General features: G+C 42.1%; 1 annotated feature.

The window, feature by feature from the left end:
* Positions 16,544–17,345: an enhancer, noted in NCBI's record as "OCT4-NANOG hESC enhancer chr14:82146715-82147516 (GRCh37/hg19 assembly coordinates)". NCBI's record gives its function as "activates a minimal SCP1, AML or CMV promoter by ChIP-STARR-seq in naive and primed H9 embryonic stem cells {active_cell/tissue: H9 hESC(naive and primed)}" and the evidence as "EXISTENCE:reporter gene assay evidence [ECO:0000049][PMID:30033119]".

A 20,072-nucleotide genomic window follows, 5' to 3' on the forward strand; every position in this document is an offset into this window, starting at 1 on the left:
AAATTCAGAGAAAGGTGACTGTGGTGGTGGAGAATAGGAAATCATGCCTGGGTTCTTCAGGCAGCTTTCACGTCCAGGTAACAGAAAACTCAACTCAAAGGATGAGTAATGACAAGATGGTTGGTTTTCTTAAAATATTAGGAATTCTCACCAGATATATTCCAACTTCTCTAAGTAATTTATCATGGATTCAACTATCCATCAATTTTTCAAACATTTCTTTTAAAAAATTAATAAGTTTAAAAATATTAAAGGCAGTATTCATGGTATTGAGAAAAAGTCAAACAATGTTAGATGGGTATAGGTGAAAAGTAAAAAAATCTCCTTTTTCATCCCCCCTTTTTCCTGGGCCCACCTCTCAGATGTAACCATCTTTTTTTTTTTTTTTTTTTTTTTTTTTTTTTTTTTGAGACAGAGTCTCGCTCTGTTGCCCAGGCTAGAGTGCAGTGGCGCGATCTCGGCTCACTGCCAGCTCCACCTCCCAGGTTCACGCCATTCTCTTGCTTCAGCCTCCCGAGTAGCTGGGACTACAGGCACCCGCCGCCACCATGCCTGGCTAATTTTTTTTTTTTTTGTATGTTTAGTAGAGACGGGGTTTCACCGTGTTAGCCAGGATGGTCTCGATCTCCTGACCTCGTGATCCACCCGCCTTGGCCTCCCAAAGTGCTTGGATTACAGGCTTGAGCCACCGTGCCGGGCCAGATGTAACCATCTTTAATAGTTTTCTGTATTCATGCCAGCATTGTTTCATGAGTATGTTAGCACATTATGTATGATTTTTTCCTTTTATCAGTTTCAGACCAATGAGTTGTTCTGCTAACATTCTCTAACCACGACAGATGTGGGATTTTTTCATATTATAATGAAGTTATTTTTCTAAACAGATTCTATGTATTTCAATATATCGCAGTTTTTATTCTTTTTGATGCTTAGACTGAATTTCCTTCTGAGTGCTATTGGTAAAGTTTCAGTAATCTTTTATAGCTTTTTTACTTTCTAGTACAACAAGGTTTTCTAGGCTTTCATGTACATTCTCTGTCCTCTGCCTGAAATCGACTATTTTTTGAAGAGCCCTGTTCCTTTCTTGGGAAATAGAATTTAGAAATTGCTATTAAGGCATTAGAAGTGGTGACTGGTCATTTTTTTTTTAGATTATTTTAATGGAAGGAGCTAAAAAACATATTTTTAAAAAGAAAAGTAAGTACTGTATTTCCAATTGAAATGTAATGTTACAGGGTTTTACCTTTTTGAATATAATATTTTATGATTTCACGTTTGCTAAAAGTCAATGTAGTTAGGTTACGTCCTAACTACATTGACTTAATTATTACGTGATCAATCCGGCTGTGTGTGTGTTGTGCATATGTGAATTTTACACACATAATAGTATCACAATTATCTAAAGAATATTATTACTATCGATATGATAGTGGAAAAATTTAAGAATTTCTTTGCAGTTATTTTTTACGATATATCACATTAGGCAGATAGGCTCAAATTATTGCGTTTTTTTTTTTTTCTGAGATGGAGTCTTGCTCTGTCACCCAGGCTGGAGTGCAGCGGCGTGATCTCGGCTCACTGCAAGCTCCACCTCCCGAGTTCACGCCATTCTCCTGCCTCAGCCTCCCAAGTAGCTGGGACTACAGGTGCCTGCCACCACGACCGGCTAATTTTGGGGTTTCACCATGTTAGCCAGGATGGTCTCAATCTCCTGACCTCATGATCCACCTGCCTTGGCCTCCCAAAGTGCTGGGATTACAGGTGTGAGCCACCGTGCCCAGCCAAATTGTTGTGTTTTAAAGTCATTTGAAATAATTATTCTTTGCATGGTACACAGTTTCTTTTGTTTCAGTTTTGCTTTTGATTTTAAGGGGCTTTCATTTCTGTTTAATTTTGTTTTAAACTTATGATAAATAGTTACAGGCTTCAAAGTCACATTTTCAAAACAAAGTATATTCAGTATATTTTGTCCCTGTCTCCTCACCCTGTTCTTTCTCTTGTATAGTCTTATAAACTTTTGGTTTATGTTTCCATTTAAAATTTATGAGCAGGCGGGTCGCAGTGGCTCACGCCTGTAATCCCAGCACTTTGGGAGGCCAAGGTGTGCTGATCACCTGAGGTGGGGAGTTGGAGACCAGCCTGACCAACATGGAGAAACCCTGTCTCTACAAAATTAGCCAGTTGTGGTGGCGCATGCCTATAATCCCAGCTACTTGGGAGGCTGAGGCAGGAGAATCTCTTGAACCTGGGAGGCAGAGGTTGCGGTGAGCTGAGATCATGCCTTTGCACTCCAGCCTGGGCAACAAGAGCGAAACTCTGTCTCAAAAATAAATAGATAAATAAATAAGTATTAATGAATAAATAAATTTTATGAGCAAATACGTATATGTTTATATTATTTCCCACCTTCTTAGATTAAAAGGTAGCATGCCCTTCACACTATTCTGCAACTTCCATTTTTCTCTTAACATATCTAGGAGATGGCTACATAGCTGAACATAGAGATTTCTTCATTTCTTATTGCAGTTACAGGGTACTCCATTTGTGGATGTATTTTACGTTATTAAACCAGCTCCTTATTAATGACAATTAAGTTGTTTCCAGCCTTTTTGTATTAAAAACAATTGTCTTGTGCAAAAAATATTTAATAATTTTGCCACTGGATATTTGGGATAGATCTTTGGAAATGGAATTGCTGGTTCAAAACATCTATCACTAAGAACATCTTTGTGAAGGGGAAACTGAATTTAATATACATTTAGTGTGAGTTTAGGATGATCTATTTATGTAGTTTGCCATCATTTTGTGCATGAATTACTGCTAGCTGTCTCATAGTTGGAATGCCTTCCAGGAATATTTCTCCTCATTCACTGTGCCAGATGACCTGCATCAGGATGCCGAGTTTTAGGATCCAACATAGAACCCTCACTAGGCCATTGCAACAAGGACATCAACAATAAATTAGTTAATAAGTGCCATAAATTCAAAGTATGTATGACTAGTCACTGTACAGAAATTACTAATCAGGAGTTTGTGAGGTTGAAATAAACTTTTCTTAACTATCCATCATGAAAATATAAATTTTGATCAACCAGGTTAAGGGGAAGAATTATTTTTTTTCTCTTTAGGAAGAATTGTTTCTCTTTTTACAAAATCATTGTCATGTAAAAAAACAAAGCAATGTAACCAAAAATATATAGGAAAAAGTATTACAGATGTGTGTCAGTCTAAATACTATGCATTTTTCTGGACTTTGTGATTGATAACTTTGTCAGCTTTTTAGAATTTGTAACTTTTTTACTATTTTCATTTTAAATAATCATTTTCACTTGTAACTTTATAGTCACAATTTTGTGTTCTTTTTTTAAAAATACAGTCACCCAAACTGCATTGGTTTCAGGCCACATATAGCTGTGCTATGCCTTTGCTTGTTGGAGTGATAGATCCTGCGGCTTTCAATAATGGAGCAGAAAATTACAGGCTGAGTTCTAGTGGGAAGCGCACTCTTCTCTTAGGAGGCTCTGCAAGTCATGGCAATGGGTTAGTATATGTAATTCTCTGCAGGAATACCCCTTTCCTGCAGAGGAGTTCACACCAGCACATCTAGTAGTAAATACTTAAGCAAAATAATACAACCTACATAGTTGCTGTCTTGTTTGCTCCTACATAGAAATTCCCTTGCCCTTTCCCAAAGTAGATTTCTCCAAAGTTCCATTCAATCTTGATGTTGGCCCAAAGATTAGTATTTTGTGATCATATTTTATTAGTTCCAGATGTGATTCTTGAGTGGGAAGAGAATGAACAAAAACACTAAACGATAAGCCAACAAAACTACCCAAAACTAGTACCATTGTGTCCGAAATTGGTGGATTCTTGGTCTCATTGACTTCAAGAATGAAGCTGCGGATCCTCGCGGTGAGTGTTACAGTTCTTAAAGATGGTGTGTCCGGAGTTTGTTCCTTCTGATGTTTGGACGTGTTCAGAGTTTCTTCCTTCTGGTGGGTTCGTGGTCTTGCTGGCTTCAGGAGTGAAGCTGCAGACCTTCGCTGTGAGTGTTAGAGCTCTTAAGGCGGTATCTCTGGAGTTGTTCGTTCCTCCCATCTGGAGTTGTCAATTCCTCCCGCTGGGTTCATGGTCTCGCTGGCCTCAAGAGTGAAGCTGCAGACCTTTGTGGTGAGTGTTACAGCTCACAAAGGCGGTGCAGACCCAAAGAGTGGGCAGCAGCAAGATTTATTGCAAAGAGCGAAAGAACAAAGCTTCCACAGTGTGGCAGGGGACCCAAGCGGGTTGTTGCTGCTGGCTCGGGCAGCCTGCTTCTGTTCCCTTATCTGACCCCACCTGCATCCTGCTGATTGGCCCATTTTACAGTGAGCTGATTGGTCTGTTTTACAGAGAGCTGATTGGTCCATTTTTACAGGGTGCTGATCGGTGTGTGTTTACAATCCCTGAGCTAGACACAGATTGCTGATTGGTGTATTTACAATCCTCTAGCTAGACCGAAAAGTTCTCCAAGTCCCCACTAGATTAACTAGACACGGAGCCCTGATTGGTGCGTTTACAAACCTTGAGCTAGACACAGGGTGCTGATTGGTGCATTTACAAACCTTGAGCTAGACACAGAGTGCTGATTGGTGTATTTACAATGCTTTAGCTAGACATAAAAGTTCTCCAAGTCCCCACCAGATTAGCTAGATATAGAGTGCTGACTGGTACATCCATGAACCCTGAGCAAGACACAGAATGCTGATTGGTGCATATACAATCCTCCCGCTAGACATAAAAGTTCTCCAAGTCCCCACCTGACTCAGGAGCCCAGCTGGCTTCGCCTAGGGGATCCCGTGTCAGGGCTGCGGGTGGAGTTGCCGCCAGTCCTGCGCCATGTGCCTGCACTCCTCAGCCCTTGGGCAGCCGATGGGACCAGGCACCACAGAGCAAGGGGCAGCGCCCGTTGGGGAGGCTCAGGCTGCGTGGGAGCCCACCATGGTGGGGGGCTTGGGCATGGCGGGCTGCAGGTCCCCAGCCCTGCCCTGTGGGGAGGCGGCTGAGGCCCGGTGAGAATTCGAGCGTGGCGTGGGCAGGCTGGCAGTGCTGGGGGACCTGGTGCCCCCTCTGCAGCTGCTGGCCCGGGTGCTAAGCCCCTCACTGCCCGGGGCCGGCAGTGCCAGCTGGCTGCTCGGAGTGCGGGGCTTGCAGAGCCCGCCCCCACTTGGAACTCGTGCTGGCCTGTGAGTGCCGCGCGCAGCCTGGTTTCCCACCTGCACCTCTCCCTCCACACCTCCCCACAAGCCAAGGGAGCTGGCTCCGGCCTCGACTGGCCCAGAGAGGGGTTCCCACAGTGCAGCAGCAGGCTGAAGGGCTCCTCAAGAGTGGCCAGAGCGGACGCTGAGGCCAAGGAGGCGCTGAGAGCGAGTGAGGGCTGCTAACACGTTGTCACCTCTCACTATCACAAAAATATGATTAAATTTTTTAAATTAAAATAATTTAATAAAAAAATTTTAATTTTAATTTTTGTAGATTCACAAGGTATATGTGCAATTTTGTGCTGGGTCTGTCTTGTGGACCCTGGCCGGCCTACAGATGAAAGGAGTACTCAGACACAGGTATGCAGTGTAAGAGCAGCTAGGAGACTGGTGGGCTCTAGTGGCCGAAGTGCAGCAGCCCTGAGAAGCTGGAGCTGCTTGCCTTTATTCAGTGTGGGCACAATGCCAAAAGCCTGGAGCAAACACAATCTGTGGGTAATTAACATTTATTGTTCCTCTTTCAGGGAACCTCATGAAGCCTGGATGATAAAACATTAGCTCCTGGTCAACATAAGTAAACAAACCTGTTTAAGATAAATTCCCCTACACTCCCTTGTACCTACTCCTTGCCCTCTGCCTCAGGGCTAGAGAACAGCTGCCTTCATCTATTCTCCCCCAAAGCTATGCAGAGCCTTCTGACCTTTCAGAAGACCTACTCCTTTTCCTATAGTTTCTCCCACCACTCTGACCAATCTCCTACAGTTTTGTTTGATGATATATTGCATAGTGATGAAGTCTGGGCTTTTAGTGCACCCTTCCTTGAAGAATGAACATTTTATGCAGTAAGTAATTTTTCAACTGTCATTCCCCTCCCACCCTGCCCTCTTGTGGAGTACCCAGTGTCTATTAGTCCTCTGTGTATTGTCCGTGTGTACCCACTGCTTAGCTCCCACTTATAAGTGAAAACATGCAGTATTTGATTTTCTGTTTCTGAGTCATGTCACTTAGGATAATGGCCTCCAGCTCTATCCATGTTGCTACAAAATACATGATTTCATTCTTTTTTTTTTAATGGCTGTTATCTGTGATATATGTGCCAAATTTTTTTTTTTTATCCAATCCACTGCTGATAGGCACTTAGGTTGATTCCATGACTTTGCTATTGTGAATAGTGCTGCAATAAACATACAAGGCAGGTGTCTTTTTGCTAGAATAATTTATATTCCTTTGGGTAGATATCCAGTAGTGTGATTGCTAGGTCAAATGGTAGTTCTAGTTTCAGTTCTTTGAGAAACCTCCATACTGCTTTCCCTAGAGGTTGTAAACGTAAATTACATTCCCACCAGCAGTGTGTAAGTGTTCCATTTTCTCTGCATTCCTGCCAACATCTGTTGTTTTCTGACTCAAAAAGATGATTTGCCTGTTTACCTCCACCTCTCCCCAGCATATTTTGATGGAAGAGTGACAAGGTAGCATCAATAAATACTCTCATTTGGAAAGAGAAAAAAATGGATGGCACATAGCAGTCACCAGTTCCTACCAATTTTTAAATATTGCTGAAGAAACATGTTGAGGATGTTTACCATGGGGTAGGAAGCGTTCCTTATGTCTTCTCTCTTTTTCCCTTTGATCAATATTTCCAGACATTTATCAATTTTATTGAATTTTCAAAGAAGCAGCTTTTGAATTTATTATTTTTTTCTACTTTCTGTCCACTTCTATTTCATTGACTTCTATTATCTTTATTATTTCCTTACTTTGTGTACTTTGGATTTAATTTGCTTTTCTAGTTTCCTGTGGTTACCGTTTGGATCATGTTTTAGATTATGTATCTTTTCTAATATAAGTATCTCAGACCCTAAGTTTTCCTCTAAGAACTGTTTTAGCTGCATCTTTCAAATTTTGATGTATTTTTATTTTCATTTGGTTCTAAATAGGTAATGCAATTTCCCTTGTGATTTCTTCTTTCACTCTTGGGTTATTTAGAAGTACATTGCTTAAGTTCCAAATATTTGGAAATTTTCCAGATATCTTGTTATTGAATTTTGTTCCATTCTATTGGAGCCAGATAACCTTCTCTGTATGATTTTAATCTTGTAATTTATTTGAACTTGTTTTATGGCCCAATTAGAGTCTCTTATGATGACTGTCTTATATGAATTTGAAACAAAAGTCTACCTTGCTATCTTGGGGTTGTGTTTCTATAAATGGCAATTAGGTTAAGTTTTTTCATAGTATTCTATATAACCGTGTGTGTGTGTATGTGTTTGTGTGTGTGTGTGTCTGCCTGTGTGTGTGTGTGTCTGCCTGTGTGTGTGTGTGTGTGCCTATGTATGTGCGTGGTTTTGGTTTTTTTTCTTCTTTCATCAATCTCTAGAGAGCAGAGCATTGTCCAGTATAATCATTTGTCTCTATCTCTTTTCAATTCTGTAAAGTTTTTTTTCCATATATTTAAAAACTCTGTTATTTGGTGAATATGCATTTAGGATTCTTATGTTTTCTTTCCATCATCATGAAATGCCATTCTTTAAATCTATATATTGTTTGTTCTAGAGTCTGTTTTGTCTGATATTAATATGGCCATACCAGCTTTTATTGAGTACTTGCATGGTATATCTTTTCATATGCTTACCTTTAAACTATCTATATCTGTGTATTTAAAGTGAATTTCTTATATATAGTAAAAAATTGGATCTTGATTTTCTTAGACTTTTTATCAATATGGTCTGGCTTAAATCTAATATCTTGCTGTTTGTATTCTATTTGTCCCATTGTTCTCTGTTCCCTTTGACCTCTTTTCTGGTTGTGGGAGCTCAGAAAACAATAGCCCCAAATGAAGCCCAAAGAAGCAGCTTCAGAAGTGAAAGTTTTTCTCTGACCTTCCTTTACTCTTCTATCTCTGGCCTCTCATTCTCCTTAAAGGCTAACGTCATAGAAACTAGAATCCCTGTTCCCCAAGGCATGTCATAGAAACCAAACCCCTTTTTCCAAAGACAGCTGTACAACCTAAAAATATTACCCTATAACTTTCTCCCTGCCTTTCTATGTAAAAACTGGCCATAAAGGAATTATCTGACCTACCTTGTTTGAGTGTAGGTCATAAGAGCCCCCATTCCAGAGAGGGTCCTACCACATGCTGCACAGAGAGGCCAAGAAGAATCTGAACAGACAGGCCTTGCTGGGTTTCCCCACTGTTTGTCAGCATTAAGACATTCCATTATAAGCCGAGCATGGTGGCCCACGCCTGTAATCCCAACACTTTGGGAAGCCGAGGTGGGCGGATCACCTGAGGTTGGGAGTTCGAGACCTGACCAATATGGAGAAACCCTGTCTCTACTAAAAAATACAAAAATTAGCTGGGCGTGGTGGTGCATGCCTGTAATCCCAGCTACTCGGGAGGCTGAGGCAGGAGAATCACTTGAACCCAGGAAGCAGAGGTTGTGGTGAGCCGAGATTGTGCCATTGCACTCCAGCCTGGGCAATAAGAGTGAAGCTCCATCTCAAAAAAAAAAAAAAAAAAAAGACACCATTTTTGTCCACTCATATTTCTACATGGCTGTCCATACTTTGTTGACCATAAGCATAAAAATGGACATTTATTTCCCCTGTATCTTTCGGTCTTCATTTTGAAAGCTACCATGTCGTGTAAAACTATAATAAAAAATCGTATGCCTTTTCTCCTATTAATCTGCCTTTTGTCAGGAATTTTCAGTGAACCTCTAGAGGATCATGGGGAAGTTTCCCCTTACCCCTACAGTGTCTTTGATGGATTAACTGTTTATTTTTTTGTGACTCTACTTTATTTCCACTATTGGCTTTTTGGCATACCTTTTTGTTTTAGTTTTTAGTGATTGCCCTAGGCTTTACAATACATGTCTTTGACTTACTACAGTCTGCCCTCAAACAATATTATGCCACTTCATTCTAGTTTTTCCCTTTTGTCCTTTGTGCTATTGTTATTATATATTTTACTTCTACATATATTATAAGCCCCACAATTTACTGTCACTATATTTGCTTTAAACACCTATCTTTTAAAGAGTTTAAAAATGAAGAGAAAAAAGGCCTTTAAAAATATTATCTGTGGGTTTTTTGTTTGTTTGCCATTCTAGTTACACCATCTATATATTTTTTGATTGTTTTGTTTCTCATGTTTGTTTTGGAAAGACTCAAAAGCATAGTCAGGCTGACATCTTGCCGTCTCTCCTTAGGTCATTTTTAATCTTATTTATATGTGCAGGCTATGCAACCTCTTAGAGGTGATGAATTATATGACATATTTATTGTTTAAAGTAATATTTCCTCCCTAATCCTAATATTAAAAATATGTCTGTGTGATCTGAGATAAATGAGTGCTCTAAAGTTAGATACCAGTTTTTAAAATGAGAATTTGAAGGACAGCCTTCATTGCCAAAACTATTGCAGAAATACCACAAATATCACTTAACATTCAGGCTTTATGATACAGACACGTTTGGAAGTGTGGACTAACCGCATAAGCTTTTATTTACTATAATATACCAATTCCTCACTTATCCAGAGGTAATTACTCTGACAACCTCATCTGTTTGGAACACTACAGAAAATAATAAAGTAAAACAAATTGCTTCCAAACAGTTGAACTAGATGCATCAAGGTTATTAAAAATAAATTTCATGCGTTTTACTAAAAGGAGAACCTCTGACTCAGAACCCACTTGCTTCCATTAAAAACATAATTTCAACCAGCTTGGCTAATTGGTTTCTTTGCTTTCAGCAGAAGGAAGAAAGACAGAAGTTTGGGTGGTGGGGAAAGAAATGTAAAAGAAACACACATATTATGTAGAGTAAGAGATAATAATCAACATTTATATATTCTTTTATGTTGCAGTCTCCTTTAGGGCAGTTAATAGTGTCCTATTTATCTTTGCGTTCTCTGCACAATCCCTGACACACTATATTTGATAAACACTGCCCAAACAAACAAACAAGCAAATGAGAGTAAGAAGCTGGGGAGACACAGAACCACATGTTGAAAGAGGAATTTGAAAAGGATAGCAGCTAGAGGCCGCTCTGTGCAGAGGCAGAGAGTTCTTCATACTACACTCCACTGTGCAGTGAGAACATTTCTATTTAGGGAAAATAGGAGCCAGCGTGGAGCAATATAGCTCATGTTGATATCAGTGACATGTCTTTCAGGAAAGGTTACATTTTAAAACCCAAGTGAGTTCTTATTGCCTTAAAAAATGATTTCCATTAATACTCCCCCAACCCCCTTTCTATCCCTCTCTCCTAATCTCTATCTCTGGCTCTCTATTAAAAGTTTCACCTTTTCACATTCAGAAAATTCATTTATGCAGCAAATAGCTCATTACCTCATGATGTGGCTAAAATGATCTGTTTCTGTACACAAAGTAGATGTTAGAAATTCTTTGTTCAATCAATTTATGGAGGAAAAGAAGTTTATACATACCCATGCCTCAAGTCTGAAAAATGCTATTCACCTTTAGTAAATGTGTAAACTCTATATAGGTAGACATATCTGCTCTCATGCTGATAATTTGTTTATTCAATTTGCCCTTGATACGTTATTCCCATCAAGACTTTTAGACTTAGAAGTGGTAATAATGGTAATAATAGCAGCTGGCAGACCCTGAGTGGGGACATCTGTATTTGCATGTCTGTACACCAGGAACTCTGCAAACAGCTGTCACGGTTTAACTTATTATTTAATTTTTACCACACTTTATGTGGTAGGAACTGTTGTCACCCAGTCTTACACATGGGGAACTCAGGCTTGGAGAGGTGTACTTATCAGCCCAGCAAATGGCAGAGCTGAGATTTGAGTCTCAGTGATCTGACTCCAAAACCTATGCTCTTACCGTTTGTGCTATATGCTTCCTCTGTCTACCTGTCATCTCTGGGAACAAAGTGGTCAACAATAGCACAATTTCTATTTTTATCACACAATAAAATATTGCTCTACTTTGCTGTCATATGGTCATGATGACAGGGATCAATTAAATAAAGTAACCCTTAGCTGGAGGGGAGAATAGGAAAATACATATATCTCTAGGCATTGTTTATTAATTTAATAATGGCTTTATCGCTCTCTTCCGCCCCCCTTGAATTTGATTGATATGTGTAGCTAAATCAGGTAAGTCATGAAACATTACCTTCCATCTCATCCCCTCCAGTTTGCTGGCTGTACTGAATTACTTGGATAATTTCATTATTTCCCTTCGTTACTCCTCTTTGGAGCTTCTTGGTCATAGATTTCTTTTTCTTTTCTCGACCTAGTTGAGTTTTGTTTATATCAAAATATGTTTCTATAGATCTAGATCATATTCTGGCAATATAATTTTGAAACTTTTTTTTTTTTTGAGTTGTAGTCTCGCTTTGTCACCCAGGCTGGAGTGCAGTGGCGCGATCTTGGCTCACAGCAACCTCTGCCTTCCAGGTTCAAGCGATTCTCCTGTCTCTGCCTCCTGAGTAGCTGGGACTACAGGCGTGTGCCACCACATCCGGCTAATTTTTGTATTTTTAGTAGAGATGGGGTTTCACCATATTGGCCAGGCTGGTCTCGAACTCCTGACCTTGTAATCCGCCCGACTCGGCCTCCCAAAGTGCTGGGATTACAGGTGTGAGCCACTGCCCCCGGCCTGAAACTCTTTTAATTCACAGAACCCAAAGAATAAAAACCGGCCACGCTGATTGGAATGGCTTTGTGTAAGTGCCATCAACTGAGAGGAAGATACCCAGTTTAACTATTTTGACGTCCAGATGTGGAAGAAAATACAACACTGATTTCTTTTCCTAAACGAAGCAAACCAATATGTACACTTGCCAGAGGGCAAAGGACCCAGGGATGCTTTGTATATGACTTTAATAAAAAACATGTTTTTCTTTTAAAATCTTCCATGAGTGAGGTGGGAGTCAGGGATTTGAGGAAAAGCAAAAGATGGCTGCACTGGGGAATAATGAAAAAGGAGGGGAGGGAGAGTGAGAGGAGCTGATAAGATGAAATGTGTTTAGGCTGTCTATCAGATGTCAGAAGCCATGCCCTGCTGTTCTGAAATTGCCTTTTCATGTTGCATTTCTTGAAGGTGAGCTCAAAGTGCAACCTTTAGTGTTCTTTTGGGAAAGAGAAAAATAAGAGTAAACACAGTCGTAAGTGCATGCCCATGATTTGTTCACAGTTTATCAAGATTATTGACATGGCCTTTTTAGACAAAAATGAGAGCAACTGTTTATTTTTTGATTGTATTGGTTCTCTCTGCTCTGTTGCTTCTATTGCTTCTTGCTAGCCTGGTCCTCTCTACTTGAGGCTACACATTTTGAGTATCATTAAGGATGTTACTATCTGCTCTCCAACTCTTGCCCTGACCTGAATAGTTACATCGGAGACATTATTTTCTTGCCTTCTTTCTTTTGCTGAAGTAATCTCAGTCATTCCTTGAGCTTATTAATTTCCCCCCTCATGTTTGATAAGGATATTTTACAGTGCAATCATGACTCAGAGTGAGGGATGGAATATAAAGTTAGAACTCCATTTTTTGAGCACTTAATCAGAGAGTGAGCAATCCAAAGTTGTTCCCTGACTGAAATCTTCACATCTGATTGCTTTTCCTACTCAGCCCCACTGTCTGATGCTTCTGGGTGCCTCAAACTGCTCGGTAATGGTGGCACCTGGGTTGCTGTAATGCTCATGGTCCTGTTTTGATGGTTTGTTTTATGTTTTTTTCTCAGACTTAAATAGCCTGCATACAGGTGCTGTCTGAGGAAGCTAAAGGCTGTCGTATTATGTCTAGAAACATTTGAGATCTAAATACCTGTGAACTGAGCTCTTAACTCTCTCACCTCCTTATGCTTCCCTGTGGTCTTGGCGCTACCAAAAAGGGCCCTTAAAATCTGAGATCTCCTTTGCTTATTGATCTGCAGAGACAGTGACCTTGATAGAAAACTACGGGCCTCTTGGAAGCAGTGTGGGAACTCAGAAGAAATCGCAGGTGCTGCACTCTCATTTTATTCTGCGTTCAGGCTGGCAGGCAGATCTATTCATTCCCCTGCCCGTGGCTTGACATCAAATTCTCCACCAGGAGGACCTCAACTCCCAGTGGAAAGCGGGGATAAGTGATGAACGAATCTTTTACTGCTTGTAAGAATGTGCCTGATACAGGATTTCTCCCTTATTTCCTAAAATCCTTCTGCATTTTTCAGTCCACTTCTCTCAGCAAAACCACGCAAATGGAAAGATGATTAAGTCTCAGAAGAGGCATGAAATGGCCTGAAGCTAAAAAGAGGAAAAGTTTAGGGTGGACGTTTTGAAAGATGAAGAGTAAGAGAGATTAGACAGTGGAATAGAAGTCCCATCACTGCAGAGAGCCAAGGAAAGGTTAGATAAGATATTAACATTAATGAGGTAGAGCAAAGCCCTGGAGAGTAAAGGAGGCTTGACTAAAAGGAGGAGGGCTGGAGAGAGTCATAACAGCCAGCTCACAATAGATTATTTCCTCCCTGTATCCTGTTATGATTTTCACAGGACAATTTTTCAGGGTATCTAGGTTGCAATCCCAGGCAACTAGGATACTTGTTTGTCTTATAAAGATGATTATTTATTCAACAAATATGTTTTTAGCTCCTACTACATGCCAGGCACTCAGGCTCCAAGAATATAACTATGTAAAGACAGAAATGATAGAGAGAACCAACAATCGGGGCTGTGGCCTGATGGCCCACTCTGGAAGAGAGATGAAAAAGATTGTCTCATGAATGACCCTGGAAATTCATAGTGCTTGGAAGAGCTTTTTTCTCCCCAGTGGAAGGCACAGCACACAATCACAACTGTTTGTGGAATTTTGCCCAAGGTTGCCTGGTGCTGGCAGCTGGCACTCTCAGACAACTCTCTGCAGACCTGGTACTCCTCTCAGACTGCCTGGGACCTATGTCCTTTGTTCTCCTCCTGATAAGGTGGTTCTCAGGCTTGCACTATGGGAAGGTAAAATAGCAGAAGGGCAGTGTCCCTTTCCAAATAGACACCTTTTGAGTCCATAAACACCCTCCTCTGCATGCATTCTAAGGGATGATGAGATCATAGACTTCTTCTCGATAAGCCTCCGCTTGCAAGTTTCCCCAGCGAAGTCCACCCCTTAACTCTTGCTACATGATTTAGCATTTGCCTTCTCTCTCCTTTGCCAGAGCTCCACAACCACTTAGTCGAATTTGGCCAACAGATATGTTTATCAATGTGGTTAGCTAGTGCATGTTTAGAAGAAAGTGAGTTGAATGCCTTTGTGTCCAGAATTGGTGGGTTCTTGGTCTCACTGACTTCAAGAATGAAGCCACGGACCCTCATGGTGAGTGTTACAGTTCTTAAAGGCAGCGTGTCTGGAGTTTGTTCCTTCTGATGTTCGGATGTGTTCGGAGTTTATTCCTTCTGGTGGGTTCGTGGTCTTGTTGGCTCACGAGTGAAGCCGCAGACCTTCGCGGCGAGCGTTACAGCTCTTAAGGCAGCGCATCTGGAGTTGTTTGTTCCTCTCGGTGGTTTCATGGTCTCACTGGCTTCAGGAGTGAAGCTGCAGACCTTTGCAGTGAGTGTTACAGCTCACAAAGGCAGTGTGGACCCAAAGAGTGAGCAGTAGCAAGATATATTGCAAAGAGCTAAAGAATAAAGCTTCCACAGTGTGGAAGGGGACCTGAGCAGGTTGCCACTGCTGGTTTGGGCAGCCTGCTTTTATTCCCTTATCTGGCCCAACCCACATCCTGGTGATTGGTCCATTTTACAGAGAGCTGATTGGTCTGTTTTATAGAGAGCTGATTGGTCCGTTTTGACAGGGTGCTGATTGGTGCATTTACAATCCCTGAGCCAGACACAAAAGTTCTCCAAGTCCCCACTAGATTAGCTAGACACAGAGCACTGATTGGTGCATTTACAAACCTTGAGCTAGACACAGGGTGCTGGTTGGTGCATTTACAAACCTTGAGCTAGATACACAGTGCTGATAGGTGTATTTACAATCCCTCAGCTAGACATAAAGATTCTCCAAGTCCCCACCAGCTCAGCTAGACACAGAGTGCTGATTGGTGCACAGAGTGCTGATTGGTGCATTTACAAACCTTGAGCTAGACACAGGGTGCTGATTGGTGCATTTACAAACCCTGAGCTAGACTGGGACTGGGCGCTGCGGAGCAGGGGGCGGTGCTCCTTGGGGAGGCTCAGGCTGTGCAGGAGCCCACAGTGGGGGAGAGGGGGAGGCTCAGGCATGGCGGGCTGCAGGTCCCCAGCCCTGCCCTGCGGGGAGGCAGCTAAGGCCGGGGGAGAAATCCAGCACAGCACCCATGAGCCAGCACTGCTGGGGGACCCGGCGCACCCTCCGCAGCTGCTGGCCCAGGTGCTAAGCCCCCGGCCGCTCGGAGTGTGGGGCCTGCCAAGCCCACGCCCACGCCCACGCAGAACCCTAACTGGCCTCCAAGCGCCCCACGAAGCCCCGGTTCCCGCCCGTGCCTCTCCCTCCCCACCTCCCTGCAGGCTGAGGGAGCCGGCTCTGGCCTCAGCCATCCCAGGAAGGGGCTTCCACAGTGCAGCGGCGGGCTGAAGGGCTCCTCAAGCGCGGCCAGAGTGGGCGCCAAGGCTGAGGAGGTGCCAAGAGCGAGTGAGGGCTGCAAGGGCTGCCAGCACGTTGTCACCTTTCACGTTTACATGGGGGTAAGTACTGCTGTGGTCTCAGACCCTCACAGGCTCACTCGTTTGTGTTACTGCCTGACCCCTAGTTGCACTTGAATGTGCCTTACCTGTGAATGCAGGTGTGATGTGCTACAGAGGGGCTGCATGAGGAACCATGGAAGCATGTGAGAGGGGCACCTACCTGTGGGACTTCAGAGGAAATGGCTTTGAAACCAAGACATGAAGGACAAGAGGGAGTTAACTAGGGGACGAGTTGGAGATGGGAGTGGAGCTAGTGACAAAAGTGTTTTGTGTAGAAGGGGCCAGGTGGGAAGTCCTAAAAAGAGATGACTTGGTGTCTGCTGGGAGTAGAGAGTCCAGCATGTCTGGAGTGATGAGCCCAAAGGACCTACAACAGTTTGAAGAGTTTTTCTTGGGTTGGTGACAAATTGCTGCGAAGTCTTTTTACACCCTCTTTCCTGCTTCCCCCTGTGACCAACATTTGGGGGATTTCAGACAGAGTGAGAGGAAGGATCTGTGAATAGCCTGGGAATAGGATAAAATTAATGGAGACAAAACCTTTACTTCCTCAATTTTCCTTTTTTAAAATCAAATCTCTTTTCCACAATAGAGATCCGTTTAATAACTGCTAAATAACTTGAAACAAATCTGTGAACTGCTGGTATTTCCTTTTTATTTTCTTTATATATTTTTCTCTTTTATCTTACCCCTCCTTGTCTCCTTTCTTTTTTTTTTTTTCTTAAGAAGGACTTAGATATAACAATTAACTAAATAGTTCATTGCACTTAATTTTACCTTCAGTGATTTGGGAATCTGAGGAAGTGCCTAAGTCCCTAGGGAAGCCCTAACACAGATCATTGAAAATAAGACCTGTAGTAAAACAAACAAAAAAACAGAATGAAAAACAAAAGGCTTAACTTCTCCTATTGAAAACAAGAGATTTCCCGCCCCTTCCTTTTGTAAGAACATTTACCTTAAAAAACTGGTAAATGTAAGTACTTTCTCTATCTTTTTGAAATACATCTTTTTAGAAAAAGTCTTTTGTCAGCTTTAGGACCTGGGAATGTTTTTCTCAAGGATCTGGGGGCCATCTCTTTGAAATGTAACATCAAGAGAGATAGTGCCCTTATCTCCCTGTTTCTCTGGAGTTATTGGAGCCTAACTTCACGGCTACCTTGCTCCAGATGGTAAAACTACTTCCTGTCATAAAGACCTCCTTATCCCCGACTTTTGGTTGAAATCAATTAGCTAACAGAGTCCAGCACCCCAATTACCAAGAAATTTACCCCAATTACCAAGTATAGTTTGGATGGACTGTATTTGGGATCAGCAGTCGTCTTCCTTGAGGACTAGTTATTGTTCATCTTGAAAACATGTATGTGATGAGTCGCGTTGGATTTCTTTCTGTTTTTGTAATTTCTTCGTGGATTGCCTGTGACACGCATCACATTGTGGTTTAATGCCTATTCCTTAATAAAACTGGTTTCTTTCTCTGCTACCTTTGTGGAGATAATTTCTGGGTTGGGACAAGATTTTGTTTATTGCATTTCCCCCAACAGACCTTACAGAGAGTAACATTTTGTTTGTCCTCTCCCAGAGTCTTTTAGGAGAACCTTGTACTATGAAAATGGAAACTGTCACCCTCTGCTTCTCAGTTGCTAAGCCTGGTATGAGTTCTGTTTGGCAGATGGAAGGCCAGCCCTTTCAAATTTTCCCAGGTGGACTAAGCACTGTTTGCTTTCAGAAGTTCTCAGCGAGGCTTTCATTTTAAATTCATAAAAGTTATCATCCAACTCCCAACAATTGTTTAATAAAAGGCAATTAGCCAGCCAAAAATATAATGGCTTTTATGTCAAAATATGCTGGAGACAGCTGCTAAGCAGGCCACTGGCGTCCTCTGGGCCATATGGTGTGAGTCCCAGGCATATGTACAGCCAGGCACAACAGCACAGAGCATATTGGGAGTAATAAACCCAGCCCCCCACTCTCTTCCCTCTCCCCCAACTCAAATCTCTCCACTCCAGAGAAACTGACAGCAGGAAATTCTCTGGAGTAAATTGCCTAAGTCAAGATTCACGAAACTCATTTATTAGGCAAGGATCTAATCTGGCAATAGATGCAGAAAGCCCTAGTTCCCTAGCCTGGTTTGGATAAAATCCATGCAAACCTTATTGCATTGCAGAAAAACGATTAAGAAAAAGCCTCCACAAAACAACGAACTCAACAGCACTCATCAAGAAAATTGAACTCAGATTATAAACTTAAAAAAATCTGTTTGCTTCTTCTGACTTAATATTTGCATGGAAAAAGTTCCTGGAATTTTCTATTTCTTGCAAAGATAGTTTTATTCTCCCCAGCATTCTTGAAAGCAGTCGTTCATTGCCCTGCCTTGCTCGTAAGGAGATACTCCGGTGATTGATATCTTGGTGATGGCCCCATATGTCTTCTGTTGTCCTTAGAAGCACAGATCCAGATATGTGCTTATTTTAATCATAGGAGGTAGAGAAAAAGGAAACTTTCCTGATTTTGTTTTTTGCCAGAAAGGTCTATTGTCATCAAAGGCATGCTTATTTTGAGAACAAAGCACAGGCAAATCACCTTTTGTTCATAGAGAGCTTTTCCATCCCAAAGGATCCTAGGGTTTGTAAACATTCTGAGGCTGTTTTTAGAGCATTCACATTGCCAGTGTCCTTAAGGACAGGTCCTGGAGGCTGCTCTATAATCATGCTTTCTGGCCATTTTGGAGTGCCAGCAAAACTGTATTCTATAGATAAGAAAATATATAATGTTTTTGAGGATAATATATTTTTTCCTGTAAATAAACCTTTAAGAGCATAGTGTGGGCAGTAGCGTTCCGGAATAGCCCTTGGAAAGGGGGCAGCTCATACCTAGGAATCCCCGGACTCCAAATTTCAATTTATTCCTCAGTCCTCTCTTTCCCTAAGAAAGTTTTCAGCAAAGTTGCGATGATGGCGTGTGTTGGGGTCCCTTAAGAACACTCCCAGTTTCCATAATTTCCTAGGAGGACTCACAGGACTCAGCATGGGGATCATGTCAGTCATGGAGATCGATTATAGTGAAAACATACAAAGCAGAGTCAGCAAAGAGAAAAAGCACAGGGAATGAAGTCTGAAGGAAAGCAGGTGCAAGCCTCTCCCAGGGGAGTCACACAGCTTGTGCTTAATCCCCCCAGCAGAGAGTTGTGACAACACATGTGAAGTAATAGTCTAATGGTGAAGCTTATTAGAAACTCAGTGCTCAAGGTTTTTTATGGAAGGTTGGTCATGTAGGCACCCTCTGCCTAGTGTGAAAGGAAAGTATCTTGGGCCCCTTCAAACTGGGAACTGCTCAGGACAAAATCTGCCTCCTGTTCTATTCAAAGTCATCCCTTTGCTCACAGAGATAGATGCATATGCTGATTGCCTCCTTTGGAAAGACTTACCAGTAACTCAAAATAATGCAACCTTTTTTTTTCTTTCGAGACCGAGTTTTGCTCTTTCGTCCAGGCTGGAGTGAAGTGGTGCGATCTCAGCTCACTGCAACCTCTGCTTCTCAGGTTCAAGTGATTCTCCTGCCTCAACCTCCTGAATAGCTGAGATTACAGGCCATGCCCGGCTAATTTTTGTATTTTTAGTAGAGATGGGGTTTCACCACGTTGGCCAGGCTGGTCTCGAACTCCTGACCTCAGGTGATCCACCCGCCTCGGCCTCCCAAAGTGCTGGGATTACAGGCGTGAACCACCGTGCCTGGCCAAGAATGCAACCATTTGTCTCTCACCTACCTGTGACCTGGAAGCCCCCCGCGGGGTGGGGTGGGTGGGGTGGGGGTAGGGATTGCTTTGAGTTTTCCTTGCCTTTCTGGATGGAACTAATGTACTTCTTACATATCTTGATTGATGTCTCATGTCTCCCTAAAATGTATAAAACCAATCTGTGCTTGACCACCTTGGGCACATGTCCTTCCTGAGGCTGTGTCACGGGCGTGTCCTCAACCTTGGTAAAATAAGCTTTCTAAATTAGTTGAGACCTGTCTCCGATTTTCTGGGTTCACGCTAGCATGTACTGGAATGCCAGCCTCCAGAAGAAACACATGTATCCAGTACAAACCATATTGTATGCATGAATAGTTTAGGCACATCGAACCATTCTTACCAGTTCTGGGAATAGTGGT

The sequence above is a fragment of the Homo sapiens genome, chromosome 14 (genome assembly GCF_000001405.40).
Source record: "Homo sapiens chromosome 14, GRCh38.p14 Primary Assembly".
In the NCBI taxonomy this organism is placed as follows: domain Eukaryota; kingdom Metazoa; phylum Chordata; class Mammalia; order Primates; family Hominidae; genus Homo; species Homo sapiens.